Genomic DNA, 18,510 nt, shown 5'->3' with positions numbered 1-18,510 from the left:
GACATTGCTGCCATCTTTTTTTTTTCTTTTTCTTCTTTGACAAAGGGTCTCAGGCTGTAACCCAAGGTGTAGTGCAGTGGCACAATCACTGCTCACTACAGCCTCGACCCCCAGGCTCAGGTGATCCTACCACCTTAGCCTCCCAAGTAGCTGGGACCACAGTCATGCACCACTATGCCTGCTAACTGTTGTACATTTTGTAGAGAAGGGGTTTTGCCATGTTTCCCTAGCTGATCTTGAACTCCTGGGCTCAAGCAATCTGCCCACCTCAGCCCTTCCAAAGTACCAGGATTACAGGTGTGAACCACCATGTGTGGCCTGCTGCCATCTTAAGTATAAATTAATAGTTTGTACTAGTGGTAGTCATTACATTATGGAAGATAGTAGAAGATATATTTATTTATGGTGAACTGCCTGCATATTGAGAATGTGTGTTTATTTCACATTTTGCCCTGAAACATTTCTGTTTTTAAAATTATCGTGTGAATTTATTTTGTCTTCCTTCAACTATACATTATCCTTGAAATTAGTTTTATCATTTATTTTATGAGATACGGTTTTGCTATGTTGCCTGGGCTGGTCCCAAACTCCTGGACTTAAGTGATCTCCTGCTTCAGTCTCCCAAGTTGCTGAAATTACAGGTGTGCACCACTGAGCCCAGATATCCTTGAAATTATTTTTAAAAGGAACTCAAAGGGAGGAGGGGAAAAATATAAATAAAATAATCATTAGATTTCTGCACCAAAAACCTGATTTGTGTAGTAGTTTAATAATATGTAAATGTTTAATATACAGTATTAGCCACCATATTCATAGACTAATTTAAGTAACTTAATTGGCAGTCCATTGTATTTTCATTTGCATTGTATGGCTTAATTATATTATGTGTATATAAATGTCTAAGCATAGAAGCATCTAAATTTTAAAGACCAAGTGTATTTGAAGGAGAAAAAGTATAGAGAGGGAGGGAGAAGAGCTGTGTTTGAATCTATTTATCCTAACATCTCTTAGATGTGACTGTATGTGGAGATGCAGAAGTTTAGGACACAAGACTGAAGGAATACTAACCCTAGCCATGACCTGAAATATAGTATCTTTTAAAAGCCTAATGTTTTCCTAGTCTCCCTATTTGTTTCTTCTTATCAAGATTAAAAAAAAAGTTACAGAGGAATTCCTGGATTGCATAACATGACTATCTTTTTGAAAATTCTGAAAAATTAGTTAACGAGGGTAGTGTTCTCTTAAAAGTATGCAACATATTAGTCTTCGATAGTTGCTCTCTGTCGTTTGACTTGTCTGTCACTGATGTGAATGGCCAAAGGCGTCTCATTGTCAATTCTGACCTGTAGTTGCCCTTTCTAAATTTTGACACAGGGCAAAAAAATCAATATTGTATTGATTACATTATGCTTAACTTTTTCAACTTGAGTATAGATAACCATTTTTTCTTTTTGAGGTTGTTTTTCTTTTTTTTTTTTAGAACTAATATCATTGTAGAGCCGGGCATGGTGGCTCATTCCTGTAATCCCAGCACTTTGGGAGGCTGAGGTAGGAGGATTGCTTGAGCCTAGGGGTTCAAGACCAGCCTGGGCAACATGGCAAAACCCTGTCTCTGCAAAAAATTAGCCAGGCATGGTGTCACGTGCCTGTAGTCCCAGCTACTCTGGAGGCCGAGGTGGGAGAATCACCTGAGACCAGGAAGTTGAGGCTGCAGTGAGCCGTGATCACACCACTGCTCCAGCCTTGGTGTGTGAGTAAGACCCTGTCTAAAAAAAAATATATATATATATACGTGTATATATATACGTGTGTATATATACATATATATGTATACGTATATATATACGTATATATGTGTATATATATGTGTATATATACGTATACATATATACGTATATATGTATACATGTGTGTGTGTATGTATGTATGTGTATATATATGTGTATATATATATTTATATAGTCATTGTAGAATATTTGGGGAAATAGTAAAAACCATAGAAAGGAAAATAAGCATAGTGAGTAATCCCATGCATTTCTTTCTTCATTTTGGTATGTGTATGAATAATAGACATATTTACAAATTGGGGATTATTTTCATGTTAAGTTTTATTCCCTTCTTTCATTTAAAATTACATTTCCTTCTCTTCTACTTCTGAAGTACTGGTCGTTGTACCTTTTGACATAGTATGTAGATTTCTGTCAAGGCTGTTGCAGTAGATGATGTGTTGATATGTTGGCTATTTTTTTTTTTAAGTATAGCATAGCACAGATGATTGAACTCTTCCAGTTGTTTCATCTCCTATCCCCTTAGCTGCAGATTAAGTAGTGCTATTTTTTGTCTTTAATATTTACTGTTATGTAAAGTCTAATATAATGGGAAGTGGCTGCCACTGTCTTACTCTTTTTGCACTTTACCCTGATCAAACAAGAGGTCATTAAAGGGGCATTTCCCCCTTTCCATTTTAGCTTTTCAGAAGTAACCTTCTGACAGAAGTACCCTTTCAGACATGTTAACACATAGGTTGCTGATGTGACATAGCACAGGTAGCTGCTTTACCAGAAAAATAATTTTGTCTTTTGAGTGTTTGTCATTGGTTCTTTTCTTGATTAACAGTATTTGTCATAATACTTTCTGTTTGCTTTGTGTTTGTTTTGTTACTTCTTTTCATTCATTCAAGAAACGTTTAATATCTATTGTATGCCCACTATTTAAGATATAGTCTCAACTGTGACTCTTGGGTTTCTGGTAGATAGGTATTTTCCTTCCGTAGTATGTTATGTGTAATCTTTAGGTCTTTGACTCTTTTCAGTGGCTGACCACTCACCTACTACTCAATGCCTAAAAACTTTTTTATTTCAAAGATTAAAGCCTTAGCTTGTATAGGGGCCAGATGTTGATAAAGTTTCAAAACACTTTTCAATGGAGTTAGGCATGCTTAGTCAAATTTTTAGATAGTTTGTACCAATTCTCCTATGCCTCATAGCGCCTCATGGCACATTTCAGTCTAATAAGAATAGTAAGAACACCCATAAATGCTTATATAGTCATGTGCTGCAATAACTATGTTTTGTTTTGGTCAATGATGGACATATATAAAGTGGTATTTTTATTGTACCTTTTCTTTAGATATACAAATACTTACCATTGTGTTACAGTTGCCTCCAGTACAGTCACAGGCTGTACAGATTTGTAGCCTAGAAGCAATAGGCCATACCATGTAGCCTAGGTGGATAGTAGGCTGTACCAGTTAGGCTTGTGTAAGTAAACTGTGTGATACTCATACAATGATGAAATCACCTAATGATGCATTTCTCACAACGTATCCCCATCATTAAGTGATGCTTGAGTGTATTGAATGCTTCTGGCTACTGTTCTAAGTACTTTATGTATATTAACTTATTCAGTCTTTACAACAACTCAAGAGAGATCAAGTAGGTTGCTCAAGTACTTACGTTAAGTAGTAAGTTGGGTGTGATGGGCATTCTGGCTCCAGGTCAGTGGTCTTGTGCTGGTGCTCCCTGCCATTTGCCTTTTGCATTACTGACATAAAGAACCAGAGGCATCTCATTCTCCCAAAACTGGAAAGAGATTTAAAGGTGTCTGTACTGAACTAGATGGAAAAAAATGTGAAAAACGTTTTTGTTATAGTATAGGATAAGTAAAACATAATATAAATTTATAGGAAAGATACTAAATGTTGAATTTCTATAAAACTTCAGACTCTTTTCAGGGTTTCTAATGAGAGAATTGTACTTGCTTCTGTGAACATTAACTTTTCATTTTAAAATCAGTTTATCCATGAAATAAGAATATTCAGTTCCTGATCTAGACTTTTAAATAATGATTTCTTAGAATTGAGTACCCATTAAAATTTCATTTGTATGAGTAGGTAATAAAAACAAACAATTTTTATCTAAGCATTCAATAATTTACAACAGTTGGAATTATTTTTAAATAATCTAACAGCTCTTTTCATCAAAAATGTAATAGAAAATTTCTTGCGATAAAAATGAAAGGATTTGGGGCAGTTGCGGTGGCTCATGCCTGTAATCCCAGCACTTTGGGAGGCTAAGGCGGTAGGATCACTTGAGCCCAGGAGTTGGAGACCAGCTTAGGCAACATAGGGAGACCCCCATCTCTATAAAAAAAATAGAAAAAATTAGCCAGGCATGGTGGCACACACTTTTAGTCCCAGCTACTCAGGAGGCTGATCTGGGAGAATCATTTTAGCCCAGGAAGTCGAGGCTGCAGTGAGCCATAATCATGTTACTGCAATCCAGCCTGGGCGACAGAGCGAGACCCTGTCTCAAAAATAAACAAATGAATAAATAAGCAAATGACAGGATTTCAAATTCAATTGACCTTTCTAATTTCAAGTGTTTAATGACAAAGCTCTAGGTGACAGAAAGCATATGCATTGTTTGAGCAGTCACCTTGCAGCTAGATTTGATGCTGCTGAAAATGCATGTCACTGGCAAATGGGTAAAAATATAATCAATATAGAGATTTAAGGCTGTTGCTTTAAGGAAACCTTGCTCACTAGATTTTGGGCTCCCCCATTCTTGACTTGCTGCTTATTCTACTGTGTGCCTTGCTGTTTAGGCACCTTGAACATAATCTTCCAACAGTTTCACAAGCCTGTCTATGATAATGGGTAGCAGTGCATTCTGCAGTTGTCTGATGAGGTAGATTACTAGGACTTGGAGCACTTCCCTTTTCATAGTTGACATAACTCCAGAGCAGCATGTGCAGGAGCTACCCACTGAGGAGCACCGGATGAGGTTTCTTGTATCTGGAAGTGACTGGAACAGAGGCTTTTACTTTTTCAGGGGTTTCCTGGCTACCCCAAGGCCTAAGGGAAACTTTATCTAAGGATACCCTGGTAAGATAGCTCTGCCTTATGCTACAGAAAGAAAATTTCTATGAGCCTTGGAGAGATGTTTCAGAATAGACATTTATGAACATTTAATGCATGCAAATAATCCATATATGAAATTCACAGTTTTCATATCAGTCCTAGAATGGGAAGAAATTTTTTTGTGTAAGGTGTAAGTCTTGATAAGGCTTCAGTAGCAATCTGAAAATCTCAGCAGCTGAAAGCAGCAAAGTTGCTTTCTTGCTCAAGCTACCATGTCCACCACAGGTTAGTAAGGGGGCTTTGTTCATTGTGGTTGCAGACTTTATTAGATCTGGCTGATAGAAATTCCATCTCACTATATGCTTCTGCAATCGCAGAAGCAGGGAAAAGAGAACATGTTGAACCACACACTGACTTGTAAAGCTTTTTAAAGTTTATATTTCGCTGGCCAAAGTAAGTTACCTGGTTATGCCTGCCTTCAACAGAGAAGTGATGTATAGTATCATTCCCCTTCAGGGAGAGACAGTGAATATTTGTGAACAGTAATACAGCTGCCACTTGCAATTAATAGTCCCAACATTTAAAATTGAATATTAATGATAGTTGAACAACTATGTAGGATAATTGTACCTTGAGTGCTCAAGAAAGTAAAATTTTATATAGGATTATTATTTTTTTTTGAGAGAGAGTCTGACTCCGTTGCTCAGGCTGGAGTCAGTCGTGCAACCTCGGTTTGCTGCAATCTCTACTTCCTGGATTCAAGAGATTCTCATGCCTCAGCCTCTGGAGTAGCTGGGATTACAGGCATGCATCACTATGCCCGGCTAATTTTTTGTATTTTTAGTAGAGACAGGGTCTCACTATGTTGCCCAGGCTGGTTTCGAACTCCTGGCCTCCAGTGACCTGCCCACCTCGGCCTCCCAAAGTACTGGGATTACAGGTGTGAGCCACTGCACCCGGCCTATAAGGTTATTTTAATAAGATATGTTGAGGTTGAAGCAGAATTCATCTTTTCCATAATATTTCTGGAATTTCTTTTCCATTTTGAAACATTTTCTTGTTTGTAGTAACTTATGAAGCATTCGTTCTCATGCTTGTAGAAAAGATTGGAGCCAAAAATCTGTCACGGTTTATCAATGTGGTATCATCTCTGTACATTGTGATATTTTATCTTGATTTGCATATTTCTAGCAATTTGTCTTAACATGATACTGTAATAAAATGCTATGACTTAATGACGACTAGATGGCATCTTCAGACATCAGTTCTTACTGTGATTTTTCTTCATTGTATACCAAAAACTTGAAAGATTTCCAAATATTTTTCTGGTTACTTAAGGTGGAAGATTGAATACATACTTCTCATTTTTCTTCCCTCCTGAAAACATACAAACGATAATGTGTGGTTAGCTTTCAGAATGGATCTTAATGATCCTTACTTCTTAGTATTCACCTTTACATAGCCCTTTCCTGCAATGAATAGGGTGGACCTGTGTGATAATGTGAATATAGTAAGAAATATATATGTAACCAGTGGGATATTGTGGAAATGACAGCAGTTCATTCAAATATGATCACTGTGAATCAAGGCATAGAATAGAACTATAAAGAAAAGCAAAGGAGTAAGTTATACAAAAATCAGGATACTTGTTATCTCTGGCTGGTGCAGTGGGGGAATGCAATTGGAGAGAAGCATAGGAGTCAGTTAACGTTTTGTTAACCTTTGTGCTGGCTACTTGGAGTGTTCATCTTAATTTTTTCAAATTGAATATTCAGTTTTTACCTGAAACATTTCAAAATACAAATTTCTGAGTTGCCATTCTGTTAAGACAATCTTTGTCTTTTTTAATTAGAAGAGCACTTAGTCTTCTGGTTGTTACAGGGCTTCTTAATTTGGACTTTCAGAATAAGGTTCAACAAATCTAGGTCCAGGTGGAGACTCAGCCGCTAACTTCCAGAAAGAACTAAGGGAAGTCACATAACCAACTTAAACTCCACTTACCTTAGCTGTATAACTAAAGGATTTGGATTAGGAACTACTAGGGGACTTTTAAGATCCCTTCTAAGTCTAAACGGTTGTGGAAAAGCTGACAGCACATGGAATGAAGCTACACTGACCTATGCTTGCATGGAAACTAGTGAACTAAACATAATGTGGAAGGCATTTTGAAAAGTTTCCTTTGGTTGAGAGAATTTAAGCTCTTTATTTTTGCTGTCAGTTCTAAATCACAGTCTCTAGAATCAAACCTATGGTAGTATTTTATATATGATAAGAGTGGTATTCCGTCTTTACTCCTTTTTTTCTTGTATTGGAAGTTGGGAGTTAACATGTAGTTGGACTAAAGGTCTTTTTTTTGTGTATCATGAAAAAATGATATTCTTTTCCACTGTAAACCATATTGATTTAGGATGTTCTCTATAACTATGTATATATTTCAGAATGATTGAGAGAGGAAGACTGTGAATTTTTAAAGTATACATGGAAAAATGAGTACATTATATCTGTGAAATCTCATATTTTTCTATTGTAAAATGTTATATCGTTTACTTAAATATAAAAGTATGTTATTGCTAATAGTGCTGTGGGTATTAATCCAAATTTACTAAATCCAGTGTCAGAAGAAATTTATTTTATCTACATATGGTTGTTTTAGAATCTACAACAGATTTTACTCTGTTTGTTTACCCATCTGCCTACTCTTCTGCCTCCCCACAGAAATTATTCTTGACAGAAGTATTTTAAAAGAAAAATCTTTACGATGGCCTCAGCAGTACTTAGTTCTGTTCCCACCACCGCTTCTCGTTTTGCCCTGTTACAAGTGGATAGTGGCAGTGGCTCTGATTCTGAACCTGGAAAAGGTAAAGGTCGAAATACTGGAAAGTCTCAAACTTTAGGAAGCAAGTCAACTACAAATGAGAAAAAAAGAGAGAAAAGAAGAAAAAAGAAGGAACAGCAACAGAGTGAAGCAAATGAGGTAACACAATTATCTGTGTTGTCTGCTTTCCCAGTAGATGGTAATCATCCTGAGAACAGATACTATCTTGTTCCCCTGTGTATCCATAGTACCTGTTCCACAGGTACTCTGAAAATATTACTTCAATGAATGGATGTGAATTTGTGTATATTTAAAATCAAATGTAATGATCTTTTTTTTTTTTTGAGACAGGGTCTCACTCTGTCACCTAGGCTGGAGTGCAGTGGGATGATCACAGTTCACTGTAGCCTCAACCTCCTAGGCTCAAGGTAGCCTCACACCTTAGCCTCCCAAGTAGCTGGGACCACAGGCACACACTGCCATGCCTGGCTAATTTTTGCGTTTTTTGTAGAGATGGAGTTTTGCCATGTTGCATAGGCTGGTCTTGAACACCTGGGCTCAAGCAATCTGCTTGCCTCAGCCTCCCAAAGGGTTGGGATTACAGGCGTGAGCCACCACACCCTGCCTGAACATTTTTAAAGTACGTTTTTTCTGACTGGAAGTTTGTGTGTTCATTGCATAAAGTTTAAAATAGGAAAGTCTTAAAAGGAAACAGGTCATTTATAGATATAACCAGAGATATAACCAATTAATATTTTGGTATGTGTTTTCTGTACACATATATAAATTTATATGAATATATACATGTATGTATATATCCTTCTAATACTTAAATGAAAATGGGGTTATATAATAGACTGTTTTATAACTGGCTTTTAAAAAAAATTAACCATGAGCAGTTTTCCATATTGGTAAATACAGATCTCTGTTATTTTAAATGAATCCACAGTTTACAATATTTAATTACATGGTTTTTTTTTTATTTTTTATTTTTTTTATTGATCATTCTTGGGTGTTTCTCGCAGAGGGGGATTTGGCAGGGTCATAGGACAATAGTGGAGGGAAGGTCGGCAGATAAACAAGTGAACAAAGGTTTCTGGTTTTCCTAGGCAGAGGACCCTGCGGCCTTCCGCAGTGTTTGTGTCCCTGGGTACTTGAGATTAGGGAGTGGTGATGATTCTTAACGAGCATGCTGCCTTCAAGCATCTGTTTAACAAAGCACATCTTGCACCGCCCTTAATCCATTTAACCCTGAGTGGACACAGCACGTTTCAGAGAGCACAGGGTTGGGGGTAAGGTCACCGATCAACAGGATCCCAAGGCAGAAGAATTTATCTTAGTACAGAACAAAATGAAAAGTCTCCCATGTCTACTTCTTTCTACACAGACACGGCAACCATCCGATTTCTCAATCTTTTCCCCACCTTTCCCCCCCTTCTATTCCACAAAACTGCCATTGTCATCCCGGCCCGTTCTCAATGAGCTGTTGGGTACACCTCCCAGATGGGGTGGTGGCCGGGCAGAGGGGCTCCTCACTTCCCAGTAGGGGCGGCCGGGCAGAGGCGCCCCTCACCTCCCGGACGGGGCGGCTGGCCGGGCGGGGGGCTGACCCCCCACCTCCCTCCCGGACGGGGCGGCTGACCAGGCAGAGGGGCTCCTCACTTCCCAGTAGGGGCGGCCGGGCAGAGGCGCCCCTCACCTCCCGGACGGGGTGGCTGGCCCGGCGGGGGGCTGACCCCACCTCCCTCCCGTACGGGGCGGCTGGCCGGGCGGGGGGCTGGACCCCCCCACCTCCCTCCCGGACGGGGCGGCTGGCCAGGCGGGGGGCTGACCCCCCCCACCTCCCTCCTGGATGGGGCGGCTGGCCGGGCCGGGGGCTGACCCCCCCACCTCCCTCCCGGACGGGGCGTCTGGCTGGGCGGGGGGCTGACCCCCCCACCTCCCTCCCGGACGGGGCGGCTGGCCGAGCAGAGGGGCTCCTCACTTCCCAGTAGGGGTGGCCGGGCAGAGGCGCCCCTCACCTCCCGGACGGGGTGGCTGGCCGGGCGGGGGGCTGACCCCCCCCACCTCCCTCCCGGACGGGGCGGCTGGCCGGGCGGGGGGCTGACCCCCCCACCTCCCTCCCGGATGGGGCGGCTGGCCGGGCGGGGTGCTGACCCCCCCACCTCCCTCCCAGATGGGGCGGCTGGCCGGGCGGGGGGCTGAGCCCCCCACCTCCCTCCCGGACGGGGTGGCTGGCCCGGCAGAGGGGCTCCTCACTTCCCAGTAGGGGCGGCTGGGCAGAGGCGCCCCTCACCTCCCAGACGGGGCGGCTGGCCGTGCGGGGGGCTGACCCCCCTACCTCCCTCCCGGACGGGGCGGCTGCCGGGCGGAGACGCTCCTCACTTCCCAGACGGGGTGGCTGCCGGGCAGAGGGGCTCCTTACTTCTCAGACGGGGCGGATGCTGGGCGGAGGGTCTCCTCACTTCTCAGACGGGGCGGCTGGGCAGAGACGCTCCTCACCTCCCAGACGGGGTCGCGGCCGGGCAGAGGCGCTCCTCACATCCCAGACGGGGCGGCGGGGCAGAGGCGCTCCCCACATCTCAGACGATGGGCGGCCGGGCAGAAACGCTCCTCACTTCCCAGATGGGATGGCTGCCGGGAAGAGGCGCTCCTCACTTCCTAGATGGGATGGCGGCCGGGCAGAGACGCTCCTCACTTTCCAGACTGGGCAGCCAGGCAGAGGGGCTCCTCACGTCCCAGACGATGGGCTGCCAGGCAGAGACGCTCCTCACTTCCCAGACGGGGTGGCGGCCGGGCAGAGGCTGCAATCTTGGCACTTTGGGAGGCCAAGGCAGGCGGCTGGGAGATGGAGGTTGTAGCGAGCTGAGATCACGCCACTGCACTCCAGCCTGGGCACCATTGAGCACTGAGTGAACCACACTCCGTCTGCAATCCCGGCACCTCGGGAGGCCGAGGCTGGTGGATCACTCGCGGCTAGGAGCTGGAGACCAGCCCGGCCAACACAGCGAAACCCCGTCTCCACCAAAAAAGTACGAAAACCAGTCAGGCGTGGTGGCACACGCCTGCAATCGCAGGCACTCGGCAGGCTGAGGCAGGAGAATCAGGCAGGGAGGTTGCAGTGAGCCGAGATGGCAGCAGTACAGTCCAGCTTCGGCTCGGCATCAGAGGGAGACCGTGGAAAGAGAGGGAGAGGGAGACCGAGAGGGAGAGGGGAGAGGGGAGAGGGGAGAGGGAGCTACATGGTTATTTCATACTTTATTTAATTGAACTCATGATAAGCATTTGGGTTGTTTCCTATTTTTTACTGTTATAGGCAAAAATCATATGACTAGTTGTTTTTGTTTTTTTGAGACGGGGTCTCACTCTTGTTACCCAGATTGGAATGCAGTAGTATGATCTCGGCTCACTACAACCTCTGCCTCCCAGGCTCAAGTGATCCTCCCACCTCAGCCTCCCAAGCAACTGGGACCACAGGCACACACCACTACGCCAGGCTAATTTTTTGTATTTTTGGTAGAGACAGGGTTTCATCATGTTGCTCAAGTGATCCACCCCACCTTGGCCTCCCAAAGTGCTGGGATTATAGGTGTGAGCCACCATGCTGGCCTCTTTTATTTTTTTTTTTTAAAGAGAAGACAGAATCTCTCTCTCTTGTCCAGGCTGGAGTTCAGTGGCATGATATAGCTCACTGTAGCCTCAAACTCCTGGGTTCAAGCAGTCCTGTTGCCTCAGCCTCCCAAGTAGCTAGGACTACAGGCAAGCACCACCACACCCAGCTAATTTTGTTTTTTTGTAGAGACAGGGTCACAGTACATTGCCCAGGCTGTTCTCAAACTCCTGGCCTCAAGCAGTCCACCTGCCTCAGCTTCCCAAAATGCTGAGATTACAGGTGTGCAACACTATTCCTGACCCTCTGTAACTTGCATTGAATGTACATTTTTATGCATTCGATGGTCTTTTTTTTTTTTTTTTTTCTGAGATGGAGTCTTCCTCTGTTGCCCGAGCTGGGTTTTAGTGCCGTGATCTCAGCTCACTGCAACCTCCTCTGCTTCCCAGGTTCAAGCAGTTCTTCTGCCTCAGCCTCTCGAGTAGCTGGGACTACAGGCACGTGCCACCACACCTGGCTAATTTTTATATTTTTAGTAGAGATGGGGTTTCACAATATTGGCCAGGCTGGTCTGGAACTCCTGACCTCGTGATCCGCCTGCCTCGGCCTCCCAAAGTACTGGGATTGCAGGTGTGAGCCACTGCGCCTGGCCCATTTCTTTTCTTTAGAGTAAAAACTGTATGGAAGGCCCTTTTTTCCTAGACATCCTTAGCTTTACTTAAATGCCCAACATTTAATATGCCCATTGTTTTTAAAAGAAATTCTGAGCTACAACTCTAGTATGTGTTTTGTTTAATAGAAGGAGCCGTTGGGTATATAAGGACCTTTCTTTTTATTATTTAATGAAAGAATAGTGTTTTATTCTCATAGTAATGTCCCAAGACTTAGAAAAAAGCCTTTTCAGTTTATTTTTTCTATTACATTTCCATCTCCATTGCTTTCTGAATATTCTTTAAAATGCTATCCACACAGTAACTTTAAAGGAAAGATACTTTCCTCACTGGATGATAACCTTTCAGAAGTCAGATCTTTCAGAACTTTTGATTGCCCACTATTTTCTTTTAGGAATTAAGATGATTTGGGGGAAACAGAAAATAAGGCAATAATGGAGTTTATATTAGAGAATAAGAAAATATAAAACAGAATGAGTGTGAAGGATCCACCCTTTCCACTTCAGCCATTTGCAGTTCTATAAGCCTTTACTTTCTGTAAAGCAAACAGTAGCTGACCTACCAGTGCTTCATTTCCAGCAGCATCTCCTTCTGAATGTCCTTTCCAAATCAGAAACCAGCTACTTACAGTGGTGTTTCTATCTTACTCCCTTTTGCAGAACAATGTATTTGGTAAAAACCACAATTACTTTGCACCAACCTAATATTAACAGTTAAAATTGTTGATCCTCAGTTGAAATCCTCTTTATTAGTTTCTCAGGGCTGCCTTAAAAAAAAAAAAAACACAAACTTGGTGGCTTAAAACAACGGAAATTTATTTTTTCACAGTTCTGGAGTCTAGTAGAGGTTCAAATCCACAGATCAAAAGGGCCATTCCTTCTCTGAGACTCTGAGTAGAATCTTTCCATGCCTCTTCTAGCTTCTGGGTGGCAGCTGTCAATCCATGGCATTCCTTTGGCTTGCTGTGTCCTCACCCCAATCTCTGCCTGTGTTGTTATGTGGCATTCTCTGTGTATCTGTGTCTTCACCTCTTTGTATAAGGATACCAGTCATATTGGATTAGGGCCCAACCTAATTCAGCATGACTTTATCTTAACTTGATTACATCTGTAAAGACCCAATTTCCAAATAAGGTCACATTCAGGGACACTTGGAGGTTAGGGCTTCAAGGTATCTTTAGGGAGGATACAATTTGTTAAAAACTTAAGACAAATTAAATTGAACACTTCAAATGTGCAAAGACCGATTCACAATTCAGCAGCCCCCAGAACCAGAATAGATTCAGAGCTACAACTGGGCTGTCAGTTGGTCAGATAGTATTTGTGGACAGAAAACGGAAGTGAGGTACAGAAACAGCTGGACTGGTTACAGCTCCACCTTTGCCTTATTTGAACATGGTTTGACAGTTGACCACCTGTGATTGGCTAAAACTGGGCGATTGGTACAAAAGTAGGTTATAGTTTGTTTATACATTGTTAGGTTACAGTTCACTATGTATGGAGAAACTTTCAAGTTGAACTTAAAATATGTAAGGAGGCAGTGGGGGCCGGGCGCGGTGGCTCACGCCTGTAATCCCAACACTTTTGGGAGGCTGAGGTGGGTGGGATCACCTGAGGTCAGGAGTTCAAGACCAGCCTGGCCAACATGGTGAAAACCCATCTGTACTAAAAATAGAAAAAGTATCTGGGCGTGGTGGCATGTGACTGTAATCCCAGCTATTTGAGAGGCTGAGGCAGGAGAATTGCTTGAACCTGGGAGGCGGAGGTTACAGTGAGCGAGATTGTGCCACTGCATTCCAGCTGGCGACAGAGCGAGACTCTGCCAAAAAAAAAAAAAACAAAAAAAAAACGTAAGGAGGCAGCTTTAGGCTAAACTTTTTTTTTTTTTAAACTGCTCCTTGCAGAACAGGGCTAACTCATAGGCAGTATGCTCAGTGTCTGCTGGCTAAACTTAATTTAACAAATTCAGTTCATAACAGCCTCTCAGTATTTTTCTCTCGTTTCAACTACTTTGTCTCAGATTATTTTTATTGTTGGGAGTGGCTTGGCCCATACTGTTTTAGTTGATTATGTTACTTTGTGGACTAGGCCCTGTATTTTTCAGGACTAGCAAAGTAGTTGTCAGAGTTGCTTAGGCGATCTCTCACTATTTAAACTTTTAAATGTGTATGCTTTCTGAACTGTATTGTTTTGCATTTTATTTTATTTTTATTTTTGAGACAGGGTCTCACTCTGTTGCCCAGGCTGGAGTGCAGTGGCATGATCACTGCTCACTGCAGCCTCAACCCCCTGGGCTCAGGTGATCCTCCCACCTCAGCCTCCTGGGTAGCTGGGACCACAGGTGTGTGTCACCACACCCGGCTAGTTTTTTTGTTGTTGTTGTATTTTTTGTGAAGACTGGGTTTTGCCACATTTCTGAGGCTGGTCTCAATCTCCTGGGCTCAAGCAGTCCACCTGCTTCACCCTTCCAATGGGCTAAGATTAGAGGGGTGAGCCACTGAGCCCAGTTGTGTTTTGCATTTTAAAAGCACACTTGTTTTACTGTTTTCTACTCCTATAAACTTCTTTTTAGTAAAGAAGAATGATTAAAATGGTGGTATAATAGAGTATAATACATTTTTCACTTAATCATTTTATATATAGATCTACCAACATTATCTCAAATGCTGGCAAAATTAACATTCTACAAAGATTATAGAAAACACAAATAATAACTTTAGCTGTGTGAGTTAGCAAAACGAGTGGTTTCAGTAGAAGTATAAAAATATCATTGGTTTTTTTTTAATTAAAAAAATCATTAGTATCCCAGGATTGGTAAACTGAATTTAATATATTTTTTGTTTGTTTTATAGCTCAGGAATCTTGCTTTTAAGAAAATTCCCCAGAAATCCTCCCATGCTGTTTGTAACGCTCAACATGATCTTCCATTGTCAAACCCAGTACAGAAGGATTCACGAGAAGAAAATTGGCAAGAGTGGAGACAAAGAGATGAGCAGGTACAACTAAGTAAATAAAATTGCTTTGTTTTTCATTGAATTTATGGATTTTTCACATGGCAGTGCCTCTGAATTCACGTCACCACTGTTCTGAGAAGCAATTTGTATTGGATTAATTCATATTTGTTGCTTTTAATAAGAGGTTCTGTTTTTGATCTACTGAAAAACAAAAGTGATACATTTGTTGTTTATGTTAGTTTTGACAATAGGAAGCAGTTATTTTGTGGTTTTAAAAATCATCTGCCTTTTACAAATCAGGGAGAGACAGGGAAGGTAGGGGAACAGTATTAAATTATTCCAAGTAAGAAAATCACATTTGTAGGGCAGAAATCTCTTGTTAAAAATACACAGTGACTAGGCTGGGTGTGTACAGCCTACAGGTGGCTCACACCTGTAATCCCAGCAATTTGGGAGTCTGAGGCGGGTGGATGGCTTGAGCCTAGGAGTTTGAGACCACCCTGGGCCACAGAGCAAAACCCTTTGTCTACAAAAAAAACAGAAAAATTAGCCGGGCATGGAGGCGCACACTTGTGGTCCCAGCTACTCAGGTGGCTGAGGTGGGAAGATCAGAGCTCAGGAGGTCGAGGCTGCAGTGAGCCATGATTTTGTCACTGCACTCCAGCCTGGGCAGCAGAGTGAGACCCTGTCTCATAACAAAAAACAAATAATACCCAGTGACAGTTTTGCTTAAAAAAGAAATCCTTTGGGAAACTTTACTGTTGTTTGTTTCTTTAACCTGTTTACATGATATTTTGTTCTTCTATGTCTCTATTAAATGTCATTAACAACCAAATAAAATAGATAACTCATTAAGACGAATACATATCTTTTTTGTGTGTGGAGTCCAGGAAAATAACATACTAAGCCTGGAATGTACTCTAGGAGATGCTATATGTATAGTAAGTGATGAATTATTTATTTGCCTGTCAAACTATCATTTGATGCATTCAGAATAAGTATCATTCTAGCAGATGTTAGGTCTAGTAGAGTGGCTGTTTCTATCATTCTTGGGTTACCAGTTTTAAAATAGACTATACTGAGTTATTCTCTTAACATAAACTGTGCTAATTATAACATTTTCTTTAGGATTTTGCAGTGCCTCAGGCTCATGATTATGAGCATTAATTATTACTATAGAGCCATGCAGTAGTGCTGTTCAAATGGCAGTTCCAGGTACTGGTATACTGGATAAATCATCTTGTACTGTTTCTAGGGGTTGATTCTTTTTTTTCTTATAAAATATTCATTATGACCGATTCTTGTTTACAAATATAAATGTTTTGATGATCTACTTGTTTAGCCAGTAATAGAATTTACCAGTGTCTTCATTGGAGAGAATTTCTCCCAGTGGCCTAAAGTTTACTGGAGAACTAATGAAGGAAAACTACTCAAATTTGCACCAAAATAAATTCCATGCAACATGGGAACTTGATCACAGATATCTGATTGCCTTTTCTTCTGCTCCCACTGATTGCTGCTGAAATGAGCAGGTAATGATGAAAAGGAAATAGTGTGACTTGGCCCTGATCCTATATAAGGATGCCGTTGAAGGCCCAGGAACTTTGACGAATTTCTGCTGAGTATACTACTGATGGGTCACTTAGGAAGACCTGGAGCCTTATGTGGGAGACTCACTTGGAAGAAAATAATGTGTGGAAGTAGAGTAGATCTTGGGATAATTACACTGAGAGGTGAGGAAGAGATAAGGGCAAGCCTTGCAACTGATGGACAATATACTGTCTGGAATCTATCTTATTAATAGAGTAATAATAGATTTCAAAAGTAGCTACATTTACAGGGATCAGGCAATGACTATATACTAGGCAGAAAGCATACAATGTAGGGGGTGTTCTTCCTGACACAGTATGAGAAATTTCGGGGATGGAGGGCTGAGCCAGACAGAAAGCTGGACATGGAAAACTTAGCTGTTACTTGGCTGCTTATGTCAAACACGAAAGAGAAATTATGGTAAGAACAAAGTTTCCTACTCCTAAATCACCATATAGATAATGCAAATTTACATCAACTAAGCCTTAGCATACAATCTGAGAGCTAGAATTAAACACCTAACCAGATGGACAGTAGGAAAGCACTCAGTTCGCCTGTTTATGAGCAAACACTGGATCTCAGTTGATCTTGTATCAATGGAAGAAAAGTTTCTGCCACATGAAGGAAAAGCACATTGTACTTAGTGTCTGGAGTGAAAGCACACCTCGAAAAAGATTTGCTGCAGGAAATGGAAGTTTATTTTAGATAGCATCTATGTTTTGCTTTAATAAAAATCAAGAGGCTAGAACGTTTTGTAAAAGTCAAGGGGATAGTAATGTTATATAAGAAAGTAAGATAAAATAATGCACTAAAATGAAAAAGTGACTGAGAGAAATTAAAAGGGAGACGGGTGAATTAAAACTGAGATGGGGCCGGGTGCGGTGGCTCACACCTGTAATCCCAGCACTTTGGGAGGCCTAGGTGGGCGGATCAGCTGAGGTCGGGAGTTCGAGACCAGCCTGACCAATGTGGAGAAGTCCCGTCTCTACTAAAAATACAAAATTAGCCAGGCGTGATGGTGCATGCCTGTAATCCCAGGTACTCGGGAGACTGAGGCAGGAGAATATCTTGAGCCCAGGAGGCAGAGGTTGTGAGCCAAGATTGTGCCATTGCACTCCAGCCTGGGCAACAAGAGTGAAACTCCATCTCAAAAAAACAAAAAAAAGTGAGATGGGTGAATTTTAAAATTTAGGAAGTAAAATCATAGCAGATTAAAAACTTAATTAGAAGGACCAGAGTATCTACTAAAGAAAGCTGAGCCAATTCTGTGAAGGAAAATTTGAGATAAGTTTTGCTGATAAAATTGACATGATAGATTGGAACACTGAATTTAAATCCAACAGAGGCATAATTAATGTCCCTGAAACAAATAGAAGAGACACAGGTATTAGAGATTATGTTGATAGGCCGAGTGCAGTGGCTCATGCCTGTAATCCCAGCACTTTGGGAGGTTGAGGCAGGAATATTGCTTGAGGCCAGGAGTTTGAGACTGGCCTGGGCAACATAGTGAGACCCTAGCTCTAAAAAAAGAAAAAAGATTATTTTGATAAAATCTAAGCTTGAAAAGAACACCAAATTTAAGCGTTTTAAGAATTAGATTCTAATTTTAAGAATGAGGAATAAGGAAATAGTAGTATAAATATATACACAGGAGAAAACTGGTTGCCTATACAGGATGAAGAATCAGGCTGGCTACTTTAATCACCAGAACCAAAATGTTAAGACCAAGAATTTCACATCTAGCCTAGAAGTCATTTGTGTGAATGTGAAAGAAACACACTTAGGCCCAGTGCAGCAGGTCATTCCTGTAATCCCAGCACTTTAGGAGGCCAAGGTAGGCAGATCACTTGAGCCCAGGAGTTTGCGAGACCAGCCTAGGCAATATGGCAAATCCCCATCTCTACAAAAAAATGCAAAAATTCACTGGATGTGGTAGCGCATGCCTGTAGTCCCAGCTACTCAGGCTGCAGTGAGCCGTGATCATGCCAGTGCACTTCAGCCTGGGTGACA

At 41.8% G+C, this 18,510-nt stretch overlaps 1 protein-coding gene across 4 annotated transcripts in view, besides 2 other annotated features; it reads left to right on the top strand.

Annotated features, from left to right (window-relative positions):
- The window catches only part of GKAP1 (G kinase anchoring protein 1), a 78,345-nt gene that overhangs the window by 3,633 nt on the left and 56,202 nt on the right, over positions 1-18,510 (top strand). For all 4 annotated transcript variants that reach the window (NM_001135953.2, NM_025211.4, XM_011519058.3 and 1 more), the window contains 2 exons: positions 7,577-7,835; positions 14,809-14,952. In NM_001135953.2, the coding sequence (NP_001129425.1) occupies positions 7,620-7,835; positions 14,809-14,952 (360 nt within the window). In that variant the 5' untranslated portion in view covers positions 7,577-7,619. The remainder of the gene's footprint in view (positions 1-7,576; positions 7,836-14,808; positions 14,953-18,510) is intronic.
- Positions 4,716-4,916: a silencer, noted in NCBI's record as "peak7280 fragment used in MPRA reporter construct". NCBI's record gives its function as "represses an SCP1 promoter by STARR-seq MPRAs in K562 erythroleukemia cells {active_cell/tissue: K562}" and the evidence as "EXISTENCE:reporter gene assay evidence [ECO:0000049][PMID:32103011]".
- Positions 8,587-9,488: an enhancer, noted in NCBI's record as "NANOG-H3K27ac-H3K4me1 hESC enhancer chr9:86419564-86420465 (GRCh37/hg19 assembly coordinates)". NCBI's record gives its function as "activates a minimal SCP1, AML or CMV promoter by ChIP-STARR-seq in naive H9 embryonic stem cells {active_cell/tissue: H9 hESC(naive)}" and the evidence as "EXISTENCE:reporter gene assay evidence [ECO:0000049][PMID:30033119]".

The sequence above is a fragment of the Homo sapiens genome, chromosome 9 (genome assembly GCF_000001405.40).
Source record: "Homo sapiens chromosome 9, GRCh38.p14 Primary Assembly".
NCBI classification, from domain to species: domain Eukaryota; kingdom Metazoa; phylum Chordata; class Mammalia; order Primates; family Hominidae; genus Homo; species Homo sapiens.
The sequence above is the reverse complement of the archived record's forward strand: the minus strand, read 5'-3'. Positions and strand labels throughout refer to the sequence as shown.